The sequence below is a fragment of the Homo sapiens genome, chromosome 17, assembly GCF_000001405.40.
Source record: "Homo sapiens chromosome 17, GRCh38.p14 Primary Assembly".
Taxonomy (NCBI): Eukaryota; Metazoa; Chordata; class Mammalia; order Primates; family Hominidae; genus Homo; species Homo sapiens.
Window position 1 is genome coordinate 58,628,670 of NC_000017.11, and position 23,054 is coordinate 58,651,723.

Consider the following 23,054-nt stretch of genomic DNA (forward strand, 5'->3'; position numbering starts at 1 on the left):
CCACTGCACTCCAGCCTGGGCAACAGAGTGAGACTCTGTCTCAAAAAAAAAAAAAGACTACAAAAATTAGCTGGGTGTGGTGGCACGTGCCTGTAATCCCAGCTACTTGGAAGGCTGAGGCAGAAGAATCACTTGAACACGGGAGGCGGAGGTTGCAGTGAGCCGTAGTAGCGCCACTGCACTCCAGCCTGGGTGACAGAGCAAGACTCCATCACAAGAAAAAAAAAAAAAGTACAAAAGCTTCCAATATCAATAATTTAAGCAGGTACATTAAACAGAGCCTCCTTAAGTAAGATGGGAAAGACTTTATGATTGTTCATATTCTAGCATTCCTGTGAAAATCAGCTTGAATCACTTAAGTGCCCAAAACCCCAGTTTCTGGTTCTGTTTAATGGGAACTGAAAAATATCCACCACCCACTCTCCCTTCTCTGTCAAGAAGGTGTCAAATAAGCTAATATTTGAGAAGGCCCTAGCAAAAGCCGAAGTGCTTCACAAAAAGAGATGTTCGGCCAAGTACAGTGGCTCACACCTGTAATCCCAGCACTGTGGGAGGCCAAGGTGGATGGAGGCCAGGAGTTCGAGACCAGCCTGGCCAACATGGCAACACCCTGTCTCTACTAAAAATACAAAAAATTAGCCAGGCCTGGTGGTGCCCACTTGTAATCCCAGCTACTAGGGAGGCTGAGGCAGGAGAATTGCTTGCAGCCGGGTGGCAGAGGCTGCAGTGAGCCAAGATCCTGCCACTGCACTCCAGCCTGGGCGACAGAGGCAGACCATGTGTCAGGAAAAAAAAAAAAAAAAAAAAAGTAGATGTTCACCTGTCACTGATTCACTGTGTTACTGTTTCATATTAAAATTTAGACCAACTATTGGCCGGGCACGGTGGCTCACGCCTGTAATCCCAGCACTTTGGGAGGCCAAGGCGGGCAGATCACGAGGTCAGGAGATTGAGACCATCCTGAGACCAACCTGGCTAGCATCATGAAACCCCGTCTCTACTAAAAATACAAAAAATTAGCCCGGCGTGGTGGCAGGTGCCTGTAGTCCCAGCTCCTCAGGAGGCTGAGGCAGGAGAATGGCGTGAACTCGGGAGGCAGAGCTTGCAGTGAGCCGAGATCGCACCACTGCACTCCAGCCTGGGCGACAGAGCTAGACTCCGTCTGAAAAAAAAAAAAAAATAAATAAATAAAATTTAGACCAACTATTAAACTCCGATTCTTTTCGTGTTTCGTGTTTTTTTTTTTTCCTTTTTTTTTTTTTTTGACGGAGTTTTGCTCTTCCCACCTCGGCCTCCCAAAGTGCTGGGATTACAGGCGTGAGCCACCATGCCCGGCCTAAACTCTGATTCTTTTAAACCACAGCCATAAGAGTCAGGCAAAATTCACCCTTTTTTTTTTATTTTGAGACTGAGTCTCGCTCTTGTTGCCCAGGCTGGGGTACAATGGCGCGATCTCGGCTCACTGCAACCTCCACCTCCCGGGTTCAAATGATTCTCCTGTCTCAGCCTCCCAAGTAGCTGGGATTACAGGCATGCGCCACCACGCCTGGCTAATTTTTTGTATTTTTAGTAGAGGCAGGGTTTCACCATGTTGGTGAGGCTAGTCTCTAACTCCTGACCTCGTGATCTGCCCGCCTTGGCCTCCCAAAGTGCTGGGATTATAGGTATGAGACACCGCACCCGGCCAAACGTTTTTCTAATTAGTTTCTAAACAAACTCATCTTAACAGCACAACCCCTATTTTCTAGACATCAATATTATTGTACTTACTGATTTGGATCTGATCCATAATCCACCAGAACATCAACGAATTTCCTAAGGCCCAATAACGCCGCAACAAAAAGTGCTGTTTGGCCCAAGGAGTTAACTGCATCAACATAAATTCCTGCAAAGGAAATATCAGAATCAATGCAAATATCAGAAAATTTCCTGAGAAGGAACTGGGTAGGGGGTGGGGGAATTACATATTTTTATAGTGTACTTTCATATATTGCTGTGAGCTTTTTTTTAAAAAAAGTACAAAGAAGGTCTTCATTAGTAGCACATAGATATACTGGAAGGCAAACTCAGTGTTTATTCATCAAAAATATTTGCAGAAAGTTGCATTGAAGCATTTAGTTCACCACACTGGCATATTATAAAATGGATTAAAATGGTTCTCAATCATGGGAAAGGATGAGGGAGGGACTAAAGATACTCTGTGTGTTGGGAGGAAGGCTATAACATAAAAAGAGCTCAATGGAATACAAGTCCTCACCTAAAAGATCTTACTAAAGTGTAAAGACTAATTCGACAAGGGAAAACAAAACACATAAAACAGACCAATTTCCAGTACTATCAAACAATGAGTCTGTGAATAATTAAAAGGGACTGAAAAAAAAGGCCAAAGTAGTAACATGACCAGGAAAATAAATAAAAAAGGAAAATATGCCTTACCTACCAAGAAAAAAATTTAGTCCTCCAGAAGACCAAAAAACACCAAGAAATACAAAAATTGAAATCCCACAAGCCTGGAGGCGCAGTGGCTCACGCCTGTAATGCCAGCTCTTTGGGAAGCCGAGGCGGGTAGATCACTTGAGGCCAAGAGCTCGAGACCAACCTGGCCAACAAGGCGAAATCTCCTCTCTACTAAATATACAAAAACTAGCGGGGCTGGCTGCGTACCTATAGTCCCAGCTACTTGAGAAACTGAAGCATGAGGACTGCTTAAGTGGCAGAGGCTGCAATGAGCCGAAATTGTGCCATTGCACTCCAGGACCACAGAAAAAAGCCCCAGCTCAAAAATAAAAATGCACATATCTCACATCTCTCAAAACACACAAAAAGCACTCTGCACAATCCTAAGTTAAAATATATGCATATATACACAACACATCTCTCAAAACACACATCTGGCATAACCTTATACTCAAAAATTAAAAACATGAGGAAACCAACTACTATTAACATCTGAAAAAAAAAAAAACCCAGAACTACTCAGACTGCCTTCTCTAGAGAAGAACGGTCACCAACAGCAAACAGCAGTTAGAATAACGCAACACCAAACACTGCTATCCCACTCGTGAGAGAACACAAATATCTCCCTCTCGCGGTTTCCAGCGTTCTACACGTTCAGATATACTCCTCGAGAAACACACTATAGAAATTATCCCTCAAAATATAGTCTTAATGTCCATTTATGTGCCTTCCACATGCGAAAGAAACTCACACATATTATGCTGATGGTGAGTATTTCGTGAGCACATTTTCCTCTCGAAAATATTACTATGTGTTTTTTCCAAAAACGATCTTTCCACTACCAAAGTTCGAAAAAGCATTTAAAATAAGCTCAAAATTTCGAAGATACTTTAGGCAATCACTGTAATTAACATATGGTAGCAAAGCATGCAAATCACTCAGAGCTCCTTTCTAACCCCGCCCCATTTTCCTCCACGCGTAACGCTGACGACTATAAAGCGCGCCGGAGCGCCAGAAACCGTCAGGGAAACTGCCCGGTTTGGACTGATGATCGGAAGCAAGAAGGCCCTTCGAGAATAACCAAAGAGTGAAGGGAAAGCGATAATTCAAAGCCAAAGATTGTGATATTTGCATAGCGCGCCCTATTATATTTTATACTGTGATCAAAATTCCACACACTTAAATATTTTGTATTTCTTCCCCAAAAACCAGGGAGTTTTTATTCTACATGGCATTGCTGTGTTTATTTTTTTCTGGTTTTCGCACTGTTGCCCAGGGTGGCCTTGAACTCCTGGGCTCAAGCGATCTTCCCACCTCAGCCTTCCAAAATGCTGGGATTACAGGCGTGAGCCGTCACACCCGGCCATTGCTGTGTTTAAACAAGCAGGACAACATATTCCCCTGGTTTAAGCTTCAGTAGCTTCCCATTTGTTAAGGTACAGACAAAACTCTACATACTTATGTGAGAAAATACTTTAAATGGTCCATTTTCAAGGCATAATAAATCTAAGTACTGGCAGCCGGCCTGCAAACGTAACCGCACAGCTCACGCACCTAGGTCACGATAAGCGAACAGAATGTAGAGGAGGGGTCAGCCCATAAAAGGGAAGAAAGTTTCTTTACTGGGAATCGAAAATTAAAGCAGGGAAGGGGAGAGGGTATATAACCTTATAAGGGGGATAATGAAACTTAGGCGACATCCGGAAAGATTGTAACCTCATAGTACTCGACCAATGAGGAACTGGGGGAGGGACTTGGATGCTAGGAGATAAATTATACCAGACACCCAATCTTGCAAGACCCCTATTAAAAGTCTCACTTCCGCTGTTCTTCGTGCCTCTAAGCCCATTCTTTGGGTTTGGAAAGGTAAGTGTATTTCTCGCACTTAAAAGGCCCTGTATGGTCTGGCCCCTCTCTCGAGTCCATCTCTCAAGTCTCATTCTCCCTCACTCCAGCCACACTCTGGCCTTACAGTTCCTCATACTCGCCATGCTCCTTTCTGCCACAGGGCCTTTGGACAGGCTGTTCTCCCTGACAGGGATTCTCCTCTCAACCTCTAATCCCAACTTATCTTCATCATTCAGACATTGGTCCAAATGTCATTGTCTCAGGAAATATTTCCCTGACCTCCTTTAGCAGATCAAACACCTCTTCTATGTGATCATTTGATTAATGCCTGCCACCTGCATGAGACTTTAAGTTTCAGACTACATGAATGGCTTTGGGTACCCACAATATCCCAAGCACCTAATAATGAATAAATCCAAGTAAAGATGTCCAGTGAACAGAACTGCAGAAGATAAAGGACATTAACAATGGCCAATTGTAAGCCATAGGGGAAAATAAGTCAAACATACTACCCAAACAGCAGAGGGTTAAAGCTGGAACCCTGAGGCCCACTACCATCTTGAGGTAAGCTAGGGCTGGGGATGGTGGCTCACGGCTGTAATCCCAGCACTTTGGGAGGCTGGGCAGATCACTTGAGGTCAGGAGTTTGAGACCAGCCTGGCCAATGTGGACAAACCCCATCTCTACTATAAAAACACAAAAATTAGCCGGGGGCCGGGCGCAGTGGCTCACGCCTGTAATCCCAGCACTTTGAGAGGCCAAGGCAGGTGAATCACAAGGTCAGGAGCTCGAGACCTGCCTGGCCAACATGGTGAAACCTCGTCTCTACTAAAAAGTACAAAAATTAGCTGGGCATGGTGGCACACGCCTGTAGTCCCAGCTACTCAGGAGGCTGAGGCAGGAGAATCACTTGAACCCGGGAGGCAGAGGTTGCAGTGAGCCGAGATCACGCCACTGCACTCCAGCCTGGTGACAGAGCAAGACTCTGTCTCCGAAAAAAAAAAAAAAAGCAAATAAGGAAAGAAGCCAAAAAGTAGGCAGAGATTAGAGGAAAACCTGGAAGAAATGGGTCACAGTGACAAGGAAGGTTAAAAGTTTCAAAAAGAAGGATCAGTCAACAGTATCAAAGCCTGAGACATCTAGTAAGAAGAAATTGGGCTGGGTGTGGGGGCTCACGCCTGTAATCCCAGCACTTTGGGAAGCTGAGGTGGGTGGATCACTTGAGGCCAAGAGTTCAAGACCAGCTTGGCCAACATGGTGAAACCCTGTCTCTACTAAAAATACAAAAATTAGCCGGGCTTGGTGGCACATGCCTGTAATGCCAGCTACTCAGGAGGCCGAGGCAGGAGGTTTGCTTGAACCCGAGAGGTAGAGGTTGCAGTGAGCTGAGATTGTGCCACTGCACTCCAACTTGGGCAACAGAGTGAGACTCTGTCTCAAATTAAAAAACAAAGAAAGAAAGAAAAAGAAACAGTGTTCATGGTGAGAGCAGTACTAGAGGGGTTCACATGTCTTACTGCTCAGGGCTTGCTGTGTTACAAATATTTGTGGTATGTCTATGTCCTCTACCAGACTGTCTCTCCTACACTAGAAGGTAGGAACTGCCCAATGTATCTCCCCTATCTTCAGTGCCTTGTTCACTTATCTGCCCAACACAAGCCAGCCTAAGAGTAGAGAAGAGCAGCAGAGAACAGTAAAAGGACAATTCTGCATGGATCTCTCAGAGTTACGCATGTCATGGGGGCAAGGCACTAACCTGTTCAGGGCACCTCTTTGAAGATATTTGTATAATGAAGTTTGGAAGGCAGATAGTATCTACATTCACAGCAAAGTGAATACATGCTTACCATCCAGTATAATAAAAATAATGTCTCCAGCCAGGCATGGTGGCTCACGCCTGTAATCCCAGCACTTTGGGAGGCCGAGGCAGGCGGATTACCTGAGGTCAGGAGTTCAAGACCAGCCTGGCCAACATGGTAAAACTCCACCTTTACTAAAACTACAAAAAGTAGCCAGGCGTGGTGGCGGGCGCCTGTAATACTAGCTACTCAGGAGGCTGAGGGAGGAGAATTGCTGGAACCCGGAAGGTGGAAGTTGCAGTGAGCTGAGATCTCAACATTGCACTCCAGCCCGGGTTGACAAAGCGAAACTCTGTCTCAAAAAAAAAAAAAGTTAAAAGGAAAAAATGCTGATATTCTGGCTACTGCTGTTGCTATGAGTAATAAACCATCATTCATCTATGACCCCAAGAATCTCATCCATACACATGTAGCAGTCTAATTTATCAAATCTCAAACTATTTATAGTTATTGACAAGAAGAAATTACAGTCAAGGGAAGCAGGCTGACAAGAAATTATAGTTATTGACAAGAAGAAATTACAGTCAAGGGAAGCCCCTCCCAGGGCTCAGGAGGCAAAAAATTAAATCAACCAAGGCCTCCAAGGGCTTCTCTCTTTTTTTTTTTTTTTTTTTGAGACAGAGTCTCACTCCGTAGCCCATGCTGGAGTACAGTGGCATGATCTTGGCCCACTGCATCCTCTGCCTCCCAGGTTCAAGTGATTCTCCGGCCTCAGCCTCCTGAGTAGCTGCAATTACAGGCACGCACAACCATGCCCAGCTAATTTTTGTATTGTTAATAGATACAGGGTTTCACCATGTTGGCCAGGCTGGTCTCAAACTCCTGACCTCAAGTGATCCACCTGCCTCGGCCTCCAAAAGTGCTGGGATTACAGGCATGAGCCACTGCGCCCAGCCCACCAAGGGCTTCTCTTTTTTTTTGAGACAGAGTCTCTGTCGCCTAGGCTGGAGTGCAGTGGTGCGATCTTGGCTCACCACAACCTCCAGCCTCACCATAACCTCCAGCGGGTTCAAGCGATTCTCCTGCCTCAGCCTCCCCAGTAGCTGGGATCACAGGCAGCCGCCACTACGCCTGGCTAATTTTTGTATTTTTAGTAGAGACAGGTTTCACCATGTTGCCCAGGCTGGTCTTGAACTCCCGACCTCAGGTGATCCACCCACCTCAGCCTCCCAAAGTGTTAGGATTACAGGCGTGAGCCACCGCGTCCCAAGGGCTTCTCTAAGGATCAGAAACCACTTAGGGGAAGGCACAGAGCAACAAATCTTGAGGGGATACAGGTGGCAGGAAAGAAAAATAGGTGAAAACCTCTGTCCCTACAACTTAAGCAAACATGACCTTTGGAGACTTCCTAATAAAAAATAACATTTATTCATTCAACAAATAATTATTTTAGGCCAGCATTGTACCCATGTTGTGGCTGCTATAAAGGTAACTAAAAACAGTCCCACAAGAAGTGACCAGAGGCAGCTATGACATGGTACAAAGACTGGCCGAAAAGGTTAAAAGACCTGGATTCAAATGTTGACATCCTAATACCACCCTCATAAGCCCAGGGCCTCCAGATGGGTCAGTCACCTAACCTGTGAGCCTCCTAGGAGGTAATATCTGATATTAACAATAATGTGTGCCAGGCACTATTCTTTTAATTCACTTAATCCTCACAACTGTACAAGAAGAAGAAACTATTATTATCACTGTTTTGTAGATGAAGAAATGGAGAGAGATCAATTTGCCAGAGGTCACAAACCAGTCTGGTTCTAAAGTCCACGCACTATACCACTGTCTCTGTGATATTGTGAAATATGTATTTGGGGCCGGGGGTGGTGGCTCATGCCTGTCATCCCAGCACTTTGGGAGGCACCCGAGGTCAGGAGTTCAAGACCAGCCTGACCAATATGGTGAAACCCTGTCTCTACTAAAATTACACAAATTAGCGGGGCATGGTGGCATGTACCTGTAGTCCCAGCTACTTGGGAGGCTGAGGCAGGAGAATTTCTTGAACTCGGGAGGCAGAGGTTGCAGTGAGCTGAGATCGCGCCACTACACTCCAGCCTGGGCGACAGAGTGAGACTCTGTCTCAAAAAAAAAAGAAGAAAGAAAGATTTATTTGGGGCTGGGCATGGTGGCTCACGCCTGTAATCCCAGCATTTTGGGAGGCAGAAGCGGGTGAATCACTTGAGGTCAGCAGTTCAAGACCAGTCTGGCGAACACGGTGAAACCCCGTTTCTACTAAAAATACGAAAATTAGTTGGGCATGATGGTGGGCGCCTGTAATCCCAGCTACTTGGGAGGCTGAGCCACGAGAATTGCTTGAAGCTCAGGAGGCAGAGATTGCAGTGAGCGTGCCATTGCACTCCAGCCTGGGTGACAGAACGAGACTCTGTCTCAAAAACAAAAAACAAAAAAACAACAAAAAAACAAGAAATATATATTTGGTCTTCATGCCTGTTCCCTGACGTAGAGCTTCTAAAACTCTTTGAACCTCTGGAATGATAAGTATCTTTTGTATGCTGATGCTGACTGTAGCTAGTGGCTGGGGCCACCCAGAAAGCATCAGGATGACAGCTGGTCACTGGAAAGACCGAAGCATGATGAGAGGGTTGGGACTCTTAGCCCTGCTCCCCAACCTCCGGGGAGGGGAGAGGGGCTGAAGGTTAAATTGATCACCAATGGCTAGTGATTTAATCTACCATACCTACGTAATGAAGTTTCCATAAAAACCCAAAAGGACTGGGTTGGGAAGCTTCTGAATAGCTGAACATGGAGAGGTTCCTGGAGGATGGGCCAGGGAGGGCATGGAATCACCAAGCTTTTTCCCACATGCCTTGCCCTAGACATCTCTTCCATTCAGTTGCTCATCTGTATATTTTGTGATATCTTTACAATAAATGGGTAAACCTAAGTAAAGTGTTTCCCTGAGTTCTATGAGCCACTCTAGCAAATTAATCAAATCTGGGGAGTGGGTTGTGGGAACACCTGATGTACAGTCAATCATAAGAAGTATAGGTTTACAACCTACTGCCTTTTTTTTTTTTTTTTTCCTTTTGAGATGGAGTCTTGCTCTGTCACCCAGGCTGGAGTGCAGTGGTGCGATCTCGGCTCACTGCAACCTCTGCCTCCCAGGTTCAAGCAATTCTCCTGCCTCAGCCTCCTGAGTGGCTGGGATTACAGGTGCCTACCACCACACCCGGCTAATTTTTGTATTTTTAGTACAGATGGGGTTTCACTATGTTGGTCAGGCTGATCTCGAACTCCTGACCTCATGATCCACCTGCCTCAGCCTCCCAGAAGTGCTGGGATTACAGGTGTGAGCCACTGCGCCTGGCCTGTAAAGATATATTACAAGGTATTTTATCAAAGCATTGTTTCTGATGATTAAAAACTGCAAAAATAGGCTGGACGTGGTATCTCATACTTATAATCCCAGCACTTTGGGAGGCCAACCCGGGACACTTGCTTGAGCCCAGTAGTTCAAGACCAGTCTGCGCAACACAGCGAGACCTTGTCTCTACTACAATAAATTAAAAAAAAAAAATTTAATGCAGAAATAGCACAATTTGCAATTGCAAAATCGTGGAACAAACCCAAATGCCCATCAATCAACAAGTGGATAAAGAAACTGTGGTGTATTTATACATTGGAATACTACTCACCCATAAAAATGAATTAACGGCATTTGCAGCAACCTGGATGAGATTGGAGACTATAATTCTTTTTTTTCTGAGACGGAGTTTCACTCTTGTTACCCAGGCTGGAGTGCAGTGGTGCAATCTCGGCTTACCACAACCTCCACCTCCCAGGTTCAAGCAGTTCTCCTGCCTCAACCTCCCGAGTGGCTGGGATTACAGGCATATGCCACGACGCCTGCCTAATTTTTTGTATTTTTAGTAGGGACAGGGTTTCTCCATGTTGGTCAGGCTGGTCTTGAACTCCTGACCTCAGGTGATCCTCCTGCCCCGGCCTCCCAAAGCACTGGGATTACAGGCATGAGCCACTGCGACCGGCCTGGAGACTATTATTCTTTTTTTTTTTTTTTTTTTTTTTTGGGGAGACGGAGTCTTGCTCTGTTGCCCAGGCTGGAGTGCAGTGGCGTGATCTCGGCTCACTGCAAGCTCCACCTCCCAGGTTCACGCCATTCTCCTGCCTCAGCCTCCTGAGTAGCTGGGACTACAGGCGCCTGCCACCACGCCTGGCTAATTTTTTTTTTATATTTAGTAGAGACGGGGTTTCACCGTGTTAGCCAGGATGGTCTTGATCTCCTGACCTCGTGATCCACCCACCTCGGCCTCTCAAAGTGCTGGGATTACAGGCGTGAGCCACCGCGCCCAGCAAGACTATTATTCTAATTGAAGTAACTCAGGAATGGAAAATCAAACATTGTATGTTTTCACTGATATGTGGGAGCTAAGCTATGAGGACGCAAAGGCATGACAATGATACAATGATCTTGCTTGGGGAGTTGAGGGGAAGGGTGGGAGGTGGGCAAGAGATAAAAGACTACAAATAAGGTGCCAGTAGTGTATACTGGTTGGGTGATGGGTGTACCAAAATCTCACAAGTCACCACTAAAGAACTTACTCATGTTGGCCGGGCGCGGTGGCTCACGCCTGTAATTGCAGCACTTTGGGAGGCCAAGGCGGGAGGATCACCTGAGGTCAGGAGTTCAAGACTAGCCTGACCAACATAGAGAAACCACGTCTCTACTAAAAATACAAAATTAGCCGGGCGTGGTGGCACATACCTGTAATCCCAGCTACTTGGGAGGCTGAGGCAGGAGAATCGCTTGAACCCGGGAGGCGGATGTTGCCGTGAGCCCCTCATAAGACAGTATGAGCTAGGCTCCACGGTTCTGGTAAAGGTGCCTGGTCCCAGACAGTTTAAGGAAAGGGTGGGCCTTTGACTCTGCTAGAATCAGGCTGGATCCGGTAATTGATTAATCTCAGCAGTTGCTCACAACTATCCTAAGGGTTTGACTTTCGAACGCTAGGGTCAGGTCACCATGACCGTGGCAGGAAAGGGAACAGGGTGACTGAGACCCAGCATTTAAGAAAAAGAACTCTGGTTCTTATGCCACATGTTTGCACTACCAGTTCACACTTCTTAAATTTTTAAGATAAAGATGTTTGGTGAATTTGACGTCATTTCTTCCCTGAACAAATATTTGAATGCTGGTATACATAATGGTAATAGCTACTGGCCAATCACGGTGGCTCAGTCCTGTAATCCCAGCACTTTGGTAGGCCAAGGTGGGTGGATCACCTGAGGTCAGGAGTTTGAGACCAGCCTGGCCAACATGGTGAAACCCTGTCTCTACTAAAAATACAAAAATTAGCCAGGTGTGATGGCACTTGCCTGTAGTCCCAGCTACTAGGGAGGCTGAGGCACGAGAAACACTTGAACCCAGGAGACTGAGGTTGCAATGAGCCCAGACTGAGCCACTCCAGGCTGGGTGACACAGCGAGACTCTGTCCCAAAAAAAAAAAAAAGGTATTAGCTACTATTTACTGAGGTCTTGCCATGTTCCCAGCGTCACATGAGATAAGTACTATTAGTAATCATCCCAGCTTTATAGATGGATAAACTGACACACAGAAAGATTAGGTAACTTGCCTAAGGTCACACAGTTTTGAAACAGAGCTGGTAGGTCAGGTGCCAGAGCTTATTATCTTAACCACTATCCAGTTTTTCTACGTGCTAAGCACTATTTCTAAGAATTGGGCATATAGCAACAGAATAAAGTAAATAAAGGCTCCTACTCACATGCAGAGCTTACCTTCTAGTGTGTGTGTGTGTGTGTGTGTGTGTGTGTGTGAGAGAGAGAGAGAGAATGATAAATAATGAGGCATGTAGAGAATTATAACATTGTTGAAACAGAGAGACGTGGTGGCTATTTATTTACTTATTTATTGAGACGGTCTTGCTCTGACACCCAGGCTGTACAAGTGGTGCAATCTCAGCTCAGTGCAACCTCTGCCTCCTGGGATCAAGCCATCCTCCCACCTCAGCCTCTCGAGTAGCTGGGGCTACAGGTGCGAGCCACCAAGTCTGGATAATTTTTTTGCTTTTTGTAGAGACAAGTTTTCACCGCGTTGCCCAGGCTTGTCTCGACCTTCTCAGCTCAACTGATCCACCAGCCTCAACCTCCCAAAGTGCTGGGATTATAGGCATGAGCCACCATACCCTGCCCATCAGTGGTTACTTTAGATTTCAGAGGTTAGGGAAGGAGAGGGTTTCCCTAACCACTCAAAGGTTATTTAAGCCAAGACTTGAATGATTAAAAAGTAGCCAATCAGGTGGCTGAGAGCGGTAGCTCACGCCTATAATCCTAGCACTTTGGGAGGCCGAGGCTGGAGGATCACCTGAGGTGGGGAGTTTGAGATCAGCCTGACCAATATGGAGAAACCCCGTCTCTACTAAAAATACAAAATTAGCTGGGCGTGGTGGCACATGCCTGTAATCCCAGCTACTCGGGAGGCTGAGGCAGGAGAATCACTTGAATCTGGGAGGAGGAGGTTGCGATGAGCCAAGATTGGCCACTGCACTCCAGCCTGGGCAACAAGACTCTTAAAACAAAACAAAACAAAACAAAAAAAAAGTAGCCAACCAGGCTGCTGTGCCTATGGAGTAGCCATTCTTTTCTTTCTTTCTCTTTTATTTATTATTATTATTATTATTATTATTATTATTTGAGATGGAGTCTCATTCTCTCCAGACTGGAGTGCAGCAGCTTGATCTCTGCTTACTGCAACCTCCCACTCCCAGGTTCAGGTTCAAGTGATTCTCCTGCCTCGGCCTCCCTAACAGCTGGGATTATAGGTATGCACCACCACACTCAGCTAATTTTTGTATTTTTAGTAGAGACAGGGTTTCTCCATGTTGGCCAACCTGGTCTCTATCTCCTGACCTTGTGATCTGCCTGCCTCGGCCTCCTCCCAAAGTGCTGGGATTACAGGCGTAAGCCACTGCGCCCAGCCAAGTGATAGATGTTTTAATCCATTATCTCATTTAATCCTTTAAACAACTGAAGGAGAATAGTTGATTATTTCTCCTTTCATAGATGCTGGGTATAGCATCTGTCACACTGCTGAAGGAACCACAGTTGGAACCTAAGCCTGTCTGGCACTAAATCAAGTCCCTGTTCTTTCTGGTAAGCCGAAGGGGTCTTCTTCAGAAGTCTAGTCTCCAATCAATTCATTTCTCTAATGAAGCATTAAATACATCATCTCTCAAAGTTCAGTCTGAATGACTCATCTTCCTGGCTTCTAAATCCCTGAGGAAGCCTACCCATTTACTTCTAGGAAAAGTTAGCACCAATTTCACCTCAATTAACACATCTCAGATATGATGATGTGCAATTGTTTTAGTCACTTAACTTCCTGCTGTAAATTTCCTACCAGGAAGCACAGGGTCACATGGACATTCACATGGCACAGTGTTCTAATCAACCACACTTTTAATTGCATTATAGCAGCATCACAAATGTGACCATCAGGTTGTAAAGATGCTTAGCAGTCAGTCTTATTCAACCGCCTCTCCTAATAGAATCTCCTCACAGACAGCTCTCTTTAGAGACAGCCAAATGCTCCGTACTTAATTTTTTTCAGAAAAAGGGACAGCGTTGGGGCAATCTGGCCAGGTCTGGGACATATCTTTTGGGTTCAGAGCAGTTCCATATATATATACATTTTATTTTATTTTATTTATTTTTTTTTTTATGGAGTTTCGCTCTTGTTGACCAGGCTGGAATGTAATGGCACGATCTGGGCTCACTGCAACTTCTGCCTCCCGGGTTCAAGTGATTCTCCTGCCTCAGCCTCCCACCTAGTATATTTTGAATTTATAAAGTACTTTCTGGTCACTTTCATCCAAGGGTCCTATCTCTGGTCTGGGCCCTTCTATATCTGTCTTCCATTCTCTAGTCCTCCAATCTTTCTGGAAACCTCTCACCATCCATCCCTTGGCCTCCTCTGAGCAGTTTCTCCAACTTCACATGGGTGTGACTATCACTCCAGTACATTCTCACTTAGTTCATGTCACCTCTTCTTGAAGCCTTCCTTGACCTCCATAAATAACACTGACCACTATGAGTTTTGTGTCCCTAATCATCCTTGTATGGGCCTCTACATAGCTCACTCTGTTCCAAATACATTTACTTCCCCTTACTAAACTGTGAGCTCTTTAAAAGCAGAAACATGTCTTATTTATCTCTGTATCTCCAGCACATTGCCTGGCACAGTAGATGCCCAGTAAATGCTGACTAACTGAATGAATGATGAATTCATGAATGTATTGTTCCTTCCCTCAAGCCCTGCTACTGACCTGTTGGGAACAACCTGGTTTTCCCTTCCTTCTTATTCTACTCCTCCCCCAATAAAGCTGGCCTGTATGTTAAGACAGTGAGGTACCTGTCAGCAGGGTTCCTGGTCTTTTCTTGCCTATCCTTGGTTTCAAAATATGTCTGTGCAGTCAGATCACTCCTCTGAGCTTCTGGCTCAGATATCCAGCTTCTACTTGACATTGCATTTAGGTGAATCACAGATATCTCAAATACAGCCTACCCAAGCTGACTTAGATCAGCTTCCTCCCAAACGTATTTCTCTTTTAGGGAATAATATCACTTTCAACCACGTTGCTCAAAACAAAAACCTAGCTTATAGCTGCAGTGGCATGTGAGTCTGTCCTCCCATCTATGGGAGGACTATGGGGCAACATAGTGAGACCCTGTCTCAAAAATGAAAAAAAAAAGTAACCTAGGGCTGGGCACAGTGGCTTACAACTGTAATCCCAGCACTTTGGGAGGCCGAGGCAGGCAGATCCCCTGAGGTCAGGAGTTTGAGACCAGCCTGGCCAAACTGGTGAAACCCCATTTCTACTAAAAAAACACAAAAATTAGCCAGGTGTGGTGATGCACGACTGTAAACCCAGCTAATAGGGAGGCTGAGGCAGGAGAATCGCTTGAACCCAGGAGGTGGAGGTTGCAGTGAGCCGAGATTGCGCCACTTCACTCCACCAGCCTGGGCAACAGAGCAAGACTCTGTCTCAAAAAAAAAAAAAAAAAAAAAAAAAAAAAAGAAGCCTAAGTCATCTTACTGTTTTCTCTGTTTTCTCCCCCGCCCCCCCCAAATACCTCATAGCCTCCTGCAGCCAGAGCAGCCATTTGAAAATGCAAATCTATTCACACCTGTGTTACATGACGGAGGTAGGTTACCAAAAAGACCAAGCTATGATAGAGGTTTGGGCCCTTTAATACCTTACCCTACCATTAACCTCTAGGGAGAGGAGAGGGGCTGGAGACTGAGTTTAATCACCAATGACCAATGATTTAATCAATCATGCCTACATAATGAGACCTCCATAAAAATCCATAAATAGGGTTTGGAGAGCTTCTGGGATGGTGAACACACTGAAGAACTGGGAGGGTGGAATGCCACCAGAAGGAATGGAAGCCCCTCCCCCTACACCTACATAAAACCCTGGGTATCTCTTACTTTTGGCTGTTTTTGTTTTTGTTTTTTTTGAGACGGAGTCTCGCTCTGTCACCCAGGCTGGAGTGCAATGGCATGATCTCGGCTCACTGCAAAATCAGCCTTCCAGGTTCAAGCACTTCTTCCACCTGGGCCTCCCAAGTAGCTGGGATTACAGGTGCATGCCACCACGCCTAGCTAGTTTTTGTATTTTTGTAGAGATGGGGTTTCACCATGTTGGTCAAGCTGTCAACCTGGTCTTGAACTCCTGACCTCAAGTGATCCACCCACCTCGGCCTCTCAAAGTGCTGGGATTATAGGTGTAAGCCACCGCACCTGGCTTTTTTTTTTTTTTTTTTTTTTTTTTCTGACGGAGTTTCGCTCTTTTGCCCAGGCTAGAGTGGCAAGATCTCGGCTCACTGCAACCTCCGCCCCCCCTGGTTCAAGCGATTCTCCTGCCTCAGCCTCCCAAGTAGTTGGGATTATGGGATTATAGGCGCCCGCCACCACGCCTGGCTAATGTTTGAATTTTTAGTAGAGACAGGGTTTCACCATGTTGGCCAGGCTGGTCTCGAACTCCTGACCTCAGGTGATCCACCCACCTCGGCCTCCCAAAGTGCTAGGATTACAGGCGTGAGCCACTGCGCCTAGCCTTGGCTGTTCTTGAGTTGTATTCTTTTTTTTTTCTTAACTTTTTTTTTTTTTTGAGATGGAGTCTCGCTCTGTCACCCAGGCTGGAGTGCAGTGGCGTGATCTCAGCTCACTGCAACCTCCGCCTCCCAGGTTCAAGTGATTCTCTTGCCTCAGCCTCCAGAGTAGCTAGGACTACAGGCCCACGCCACCATATCCAGCTAATTTTTTTGTATTTTTAGTAGAGACGAGATTTCACCATGTTGACCAAGATGTTCTCCAACTCCTGACCTCAAGTGATCCACCCACCTTGACCTCCCAAACTGCTGGGATTACAGGCGTGAGCCACCATGCCCAGCCTATATTAGTCTTTACAACAAAATTATAAAATTATATTGTAGGATTCATAACTCATAGATATATTATGGCTTCTATAATTTTTTTTTTTTGAGACGGAGTCTCACTCTGCTGCCCAGGCTGGAGTGCAGTGGCGCGATCTCGGCTCACTGCAAGCTCCGCCTCCCGGGTTCACGCCATTCTCCTGCCTTGGCCTCCCGAGTAGCTGGGACTATAGGCGCCCGCCACCGCGCCCGACTAATTTTTTGTATTTTTAGTAGAGACAGGGTTTCACCATGTTACCCGGGATGGTCTTGATCTCCTGACCTCGTGATCCGCCCGCCTCAGCCTCCCAAAGTGCTGGGATTACAGGCATGAGCCACCTGCCCGGCCTATGGCTTCTATAATATAAAGGATAAGAGAAGGGGAGAAATGAACCTATAAGGTTGCATCTTTTATGTGAAGTGGTACATCATTAACTGTAAGTAAACTGTTAGAAGTTAAAGATATAGACAGTCATCCCTCGGTACCCATGGGGAACTGGTTTCAGGACCCTCCCATACCAGTAAAATCCAAAGATGCTCAAGTCCCTTATATAAAATAACATAGTATTTGCATATAATCTATCTATGTATCTATCCACCTACCTACCCATCTAATCTTCCTGTATATTTTAAATCATCTCTAGATTATTTATAATATCTAGTACAATGTAAATACTATGTTAATAGTTGTTAGTCTTCATTTTTGTTTGTATTTTTTATTGTAGTGTTATTTTTTAATTGTTTCCTTTTTCCTAATATTTTTGATACTTGGTTGGTTGAATCCACAAATGTGGAACCCACAGATAAGCAGTGTCAACTGTATTGAAATAACTAGAGCAACCACTGAAAAAACAATGTAAAGAGGTATAGCTTAAAAGCCAATCGCTATTATAAGTTAAAATGGAATTCTAAAACATATTTCATTAACACAAAAGAAGGCAGGAAAGAGAAGAAACGAAAAACAGAGGGTAAAACACAAAACAATATAAAATGGGAGTTTTTACATCGAACCAAAATCCTTCCAATAGCCCACAAGGCTCTGACTGGTCCAGCCCAGGCCTCCCTTGCCAGTTTCATCTCACATCTCTCTCCACCCCACTGGTTTTCCCGTCAACTCATGTCAACCAGACCCTTTTCTTTTCTAGCTCCTCTCCATCCTCAGAGCACAACTCCTGCCTCATCAACTCCTTTTCTTTTTCTTTTCATTTTTTTCAGAGATGGAATCTCACTATGTTGCCCAGGTTGGACTCCTGGGGTCAAGTGATTCTCCCACCTCAGTCTGCAAGTAGCTAGGACTACAGGTGTGTGCCATGGCACCCGGCTTGGTCAACTCCTCTTCTTCCTTGAGGTCCTGGCCTAAGCAACACTTCTTCTGAGAAGTTTCTCTTGATTACCCCATAGACAAGGAGGCTCAGATGAATCTTGTGTGCTGACTTCACTTCCTGCCCTTCTCAGTACACTTCAGCTCCCAACTTATGTCTGTTTCTTCTGTTAGATTATGGTCCCAAAGGGCACAGTCATAATCTGTAACAATCGGTTTTCTGAATGAGCTAAACTGAGTAGGATACAATCAGGAGACAACTTTCCCCTCAAGCACACTCTTTTTTTTTTTTTTTAGACAGAGTTTCGCTCTTGTTTCCCAGGCTGGAGTGCGATGGCACCATCTCGGCTCACTGCATCCTCCACCTCCAGAGTTCAAGCGATTCTCCTGCCTCAGCCTCCCGAGTAGCTGGGATTACAGGTATACGCCACCATGCCTATTTTATGTTTTTAGTAGAGATGGGGTTTCACCATGTTGGCCAGGATGGTCTGGAACTCCTGACCTCAGGTAATCCACCCACCTCTGCCTCCCAAAGTGCTGGGATTACAGACTTGAGCCACCGCGCCCAGCCTGGAACGGCACAATTAAAGTGACAGAAAAAATGGATTCTGCAGCCCAGCGCGGTGGCTCACTCCTGTAATCCCTGTAATCCCAGCACTTTGGGAGGCCGAGGTGGGCAGATCACAAGGTCAGGAGATCGAGACCATGCTGGCTAACACGGTGAAACCCCATCTCTACTAAAAATACAAAAAAATTAGCTGGGTGTAGTGGCGGGTGCCTGTAGTCCCAGCTACTCGGGAGGCTGAGGCAGGAGAATGGCGTGAACCCGGGAGGCGGAGCTTGCAGTGAGCTGAGATCGCGTCACTGCACTCCAGCCTGGGCGACTGAGCGAGACTCCGTCTCAAAGAAAAAAAAGTGGATTCTGCCTGAGATGCCTCTCAAGGAGGGGAAGGAAGAGCCAACCAAGAGTGTGCTTGAGGTCAGGCAAAAAAAAAAAAAAAAAATTTGTTCCACCAAAATCAAAATCTCAATCTTTCAACAAATTCCAATTTCTTTCTTTCTTTCTTTTTGTTTTTTGTTTTTTGAGACAGAGTCTTCCTCTGTCGCCCAGGCTAGAGTGCAGTGGTGCAACCTTGGCTCACTGCAACTTCCACCTCCGAAGTTCAAGCGATTCTCCTCCTGCCTCAGCCTCCCAAGTAGCTGGGACTACAGGCATGTGCCACCAAGTCCAGCTAATTTTTGTACTTTTAGTAGAGACGCGGTTTCACCATGTTGGCCAGGCTGTTCTCAAACTCCTGAGCTCAAGTGATCCACCCACCTAGGCCTCCCAAAGTGCTGGGATTACACGCGTGAGCCACCGTACCCAGGCCGATTCCAATTTCTTCCCTCCTCCGCACTGCAGGATGCAGCAATGCTCTGTTAATTCTCCTCCTTGCTTCTCCACTCTTCCTCTGATCTCAACGCTGTTTGTGGCAACTCCAGAGCTGAGGCAAGGGGGAGAACCAATAAGACAAAAAGAGGCAATGGCCTTCATACTCAGCTGATGCCCCGTGTAGCTTCTGGCTTTATCCTAAAGCCTGTCCTTTTGTGGAAGGTGCTAGTGGGTCCTTCAAGTGCCTCCACCACACTGTGCAGAACCCCACACAGGCCAGTGCTCTCTTCTGCTGACTTCTTGCCCACCACTCAGCTCCCTCCCTCTAAAGCCCTACCTGCAGCCTCTCTGGTTGGGATCCTTTCTTCCTTCACAGGTAGAATCCCCTTAGATGGCTCAGCTACCCACTGTGGAGTCTACTTGTGCAAGTGTGACTAATTACTGCTAGCCTCCTATGCTCACCAACTGGTGCAAGTGTGACTAATTACTGTTAGCCTCCTATGCTCACCCACCCATCAAGGACTGCTCCAAGTAGGAGACAGATAGCAGTCTTCTTGCCTCCTCAACTCCAGGGAACACTGCAGCTTCTTGGTGTGTCACTCTGGTGGCAGCTTGGGGTAGGCTGACATATTTCAACTGTACAGCAGGCTGGGACTCAGGTCTCATCTCTCTTGCCTGCAAGCACCACAGTTCTCTCTGAGGTTTGCCTGAAGGGCCTCTTGTCTTGAGACTGGCAAGGATGGGGAAAGCCACAGCCTTCTAATCCTGTGAATTTCTTTTTTTTTCTTTTTTTTTTTTTTTTTTTTTGAGACAGAGTCTCGCTCTGTTGCCCAGGCTGGAGTGCAGTGGCGTGATCTCGGATCACTGCAAGCTCCGCCTCCCGGGTTCATGCCATTCTCCTGCCTCAGCCTCCCAAGTAGCTGGGACTACAGGCACCCGCCACTGCGCCCAGCTAAATTTTTGTTTTTTTAGTAGAGACGGGGTTTCACCGTGGTCTCGATCTCCTGACCTCGTGATCCGCTCGCCTCGGTCTCCCAAAGTGCTGGGATTACAGGCGTGAGCCACCACGCCCGGCCTCTTTTTTTTTTTTTTCTTTGAGATGGAGTTTTGCTCTTGTTGCTCAGGCTGGAGTGCAATGGCGCAATCTCGGCTCACGGCAACCTCCGCCTCCCAGGTTCAAGTGATTCTCCTGCCTCAGCCTCCCAAGTAGCTGAGATTACAGGCACCCACCACCACGCCCAGCTAATTTTTATATTTTTAGTAGAGACTGGGTTTCACCATGTTGGCCAGGCTGGTCTCAAACTCCTGACCTCAGGTGATCCACCCACCTCAGCCTCCCAAAGTGCTGGGATTACAGGCATGAGTCATCACACCTGGCCCTGTGAATACTTTTTAAAGAATCTAAGGATCATTTAAATGATATCCTAACAAGCCCTCTATTAGACTGTGGGAGAATTTATCGCCCCTTATTCTGCACTCTGAGGCTTCAGATAGAATTCCCAGACACAGATGAAGTCCTGTTCTATATCCAGGTACACATGTTAACCCCATCCCTTACTCTAACTGAATATCAAGCATTTGAAGATGCAGAATATTCAGGAGATGTCTAGGAGATAATAAATGTCATAATACTCTGATGTTCACTAAAAAAAAGTGATGTTCAATATAGGTATGCTATGACTTCTAGTGACTGTCTATCCACACCATTCACTGTGAGAAACAGAGTTTTATTTATTTTTTATTTATTTATTTTTTAGGCAGAGTAGTCTCACTCTGTCCCCCAGGCTGGAGTGCAGTGGCGCGATCTCAGCTCACCGCAACCTCCACCTCCCAGGTTCAAGTGATTCTCCTGCCTCGGCCTCCCCAGTAGCTGGGACTACAGGTGCCCACCACCATGCCTGGCTAATTTTTGTATTTTTAGTAGAAATGGGGTTTCACTATGTTGGCCAGGCTGGTCTCGAACTCCTGACCTCAGGTGATCCACCCTCCTCGGCATCCCAAAGTGCTGGGATTACAGGCGTGTGCCACTGCGCCCAGCCCAGAGTTTTATTTTTGTTTTTGTTTTTGTTTTTCTGAGACAGAGTCTCACTTTTGTTGCCCAGGCTGGAGTGCAATGGTGTGATCTAGGCTCACTGCAACCTCTGCCTCCTGAGTTCAAGCGATTCTCCTGCCTCAGCCTCCCAAGTAGCTGGGATTACAGGCGCCTGCCACCACACCCGGCTAATTATTTTTAGTAGAGACGGGGTTTCACCATGTTGGCCAGGCAGGTCTCGAATCCTGACCTCAGATGATCCACCCTCCTTGGCCTCCCAAAGTGCTGGGATTACAGGTGTGAGTCACCATGCCTGGCCCAAGAAGCAGAGTTTTACAACGTTTTATTTTAAAACATATGTGGATATGTTATGGAGTAAAATGCAAAATTTTGAGGGGAAAAAAAAACCCAGGACCTTTCACATAAATGATTGAGCTCAGTGTGAGCTACTTCACCTATGGACCCTAGGGGTAGTACATGGAAAGGTTTGATAACTTATTTTTTTGCTGTTGAGATGGGATCTCACCTCAGCCTCCTGGTGTGGTGGACTATAGGCATGCGCTACCATGCGTGTAGTGCCAACTAGTGATTTCTTTATTTTTTATTTTTTGTAGAGACAGGGTCTCACAGTGTTGCCCAGGCTGGTCTCAGACTGGTCTTGAACTCCTGGCTTCAAGCAATTCTCTTGCCTCAGCCTCCCAAAGTGCTCGGTTTACAGATAGGTGGGATCCACTGTGCCAGCCATGAGAACTTTATGAGAGAACTATTCAGTGGGATAGGTGGAAAATTGGGGTTACCTTTCTGGACGTCTTCAGGAATGCTATTGAAGCAAGTGGAGAAAAACCAGGTCACCCTGACTATTCCACAAATCAGCAAAGAAAAGTTTCAGAAGCCTCCCCTTCAATACTAAGAAAAGAGACAGGGGATCAAGCAGGACCTCTGCTTACACTGAAAATAGCAGGTCTGGGTTCACTCCTGTAATCCTAGCACTTTGAGAGGCTGAGGTGGGCAGATCACTTGAGCCCAGAAGTTCTAGACCAGCCTGAGCAACATGGCGAAAGCATCTCTACAAAAAACAAACAAAAAACACATAAATTAGCCAGGCATGGTGGCTTACGCCTATAGTCCCAGTTATTTGGGAAGCTGAGGCAGGAGAATCACCTGAGCCCGTGGAGGTTGAGGCTGCAGTGAGCTGTGATCATGCTACTGCACTGCATTTGGCAACAGAGTGAGACTCTGTCTCCAAAAGAAAAAGAAAAAAAACAGGAGCCAAACACCAGAAAAGGTTGTTTGTATATGGGTTTTTGTTTGTTGGTTCTTTGGTTTGTTTTCTCAGACCAAATTCACATGACATGTTTGTTGGTTCTTTTGAAGACTGCTTCAGCCATTGAGCCATGTCTGCCTGTATCCTTCAGCTAGAAAACCCCAGAAAAAAGGCACCAAGTGGAAATAAGGAGCAAGGAAGGGGACAGCTGTGAACACTGGCCTCCTTAGTCAACCACGGGTGTCAGAGAACTTAATGGATGGAGCAGATTTCAAGGAAAGAAATCAGGCAGAATCAAAGGTGGGTGACTTCAGAGAAACCATAGGAGCCTAGCAGTAGCAGTTGGATGCGCTTGTGGTTCCCCAACACAAAACAAAACAAAACAAAACATCCTCAAAATGAGGATTTAACACCTCTCTTGACTGCA

The 23,054-nt window shown here is 46.1% G+C and overlaps 1 protein-coding gene, 1 long non-coding RNA gene and 1 pseudogene across 4 annotated transcripts in view, besides 4 other annotated features; 1 reads left to right on the forward strand and 2 right to left on the reverse strand.

Moving 5' to 3' along the window:
• TEX14 (testis expressed 14, intercellular bridge forming factor) overlaps nt 1–23,054 on the reverse strand; it is a 135,368-nt gene that overhangs the window by 71,992 nt on the left and 40,322 nt on the right. For all 3 annotated transcript variants that reach the window (NM_031272.5, NM_198393.4, NM_001201457.2), the window contains exon 3: nt 1,771–1,885. In NM_031272.5, the coding sequence (NP_112562.3) occupies nt 1,771–1,885 (115 nt within the window). The remainder of the gene's footprint in view (nt 1–1,770; nt 1,886–23,054) is intronic.
• Nucleotides 2,972–3,167, reverse strand: LOC124904154 (uncharacterized; annotated as a pseudogene).
• Nucleotides 3,215–3,354: an enhancer, noted in NCBI's record as "active region_12488". NCBI's record gives its function as "activates an Ori minimal core promoter by ATAC-STARR-seq in GM12878 lymphoblastoid cells {active_cell/tissue: GM12878}" and the evidence as "EXISTENCE:reporter gene assay evidence [ECO:0000049][PMID:35858748]".
• Nucleotides 3,777–4,319: an enhancer, noted in NCBI's record as "H3K27ac hESC enhancer chr17:56709807-56710349 (GRCh37/hg19 assembly coordinates)". NCBI's record gives its function as "activates a minimal SCP1, AML or CMV promoter by ChIP-STARR-seq in primed H9 embryonic stem cells {active_cell/tissue: H9 hESC(primed)}" and the evidence as "EXISTENCE:reporter gene assay evidence [ECO:0000049][PMID:30033119]".
• LOC105371842 (uncharacterized) lies at nt 4,128–22,922 on the forward strand. The gene is made up of 3 exons (XR_934885.3): nt 4,128–4,323; nt 15,299–15,363; nt 22,738–22,922. It is a non-coding gene; the product is annotated as an uncharacterized LOC105371842 (long non-coding RNA).
• Nucleotides 6,559–7,060: an enhancer, noted in NCBI's record as "H3K4me1 hESC enhancer chr17:56712589-56713090 (GRCh37/hg19 assembly coordinates)". NCBI's record gives its function as "activates a minimal SCP1, AML or CMV promoter by ChIP-STARR-seq in primed H9 embryonic stem cells {active_cell/tissue: H9 hESC(primed)}" and the evidence as "EXISTENCE:reporter gene assay evidence [ECO:0000049][PMID:30033119]".
• Nucleotides 7,061–7,560: an enhancer, noted in NCBI's record as "H3K4me1 hESC enhancer chr17:56713091-56713590 (GRCh37/hg19 assembly coordinates)". NCBI's record gives its function as "activates a minimal SCP1, AML or CMV promoter by ChIP-STARR-seq in primed H9 embryonic stem cells {active_cell/tissue: H9 hESC(primed)}" and the evidence as "EXISTENCE:reporter gene assay evidence [ECO:0000049][PMID:30033119]".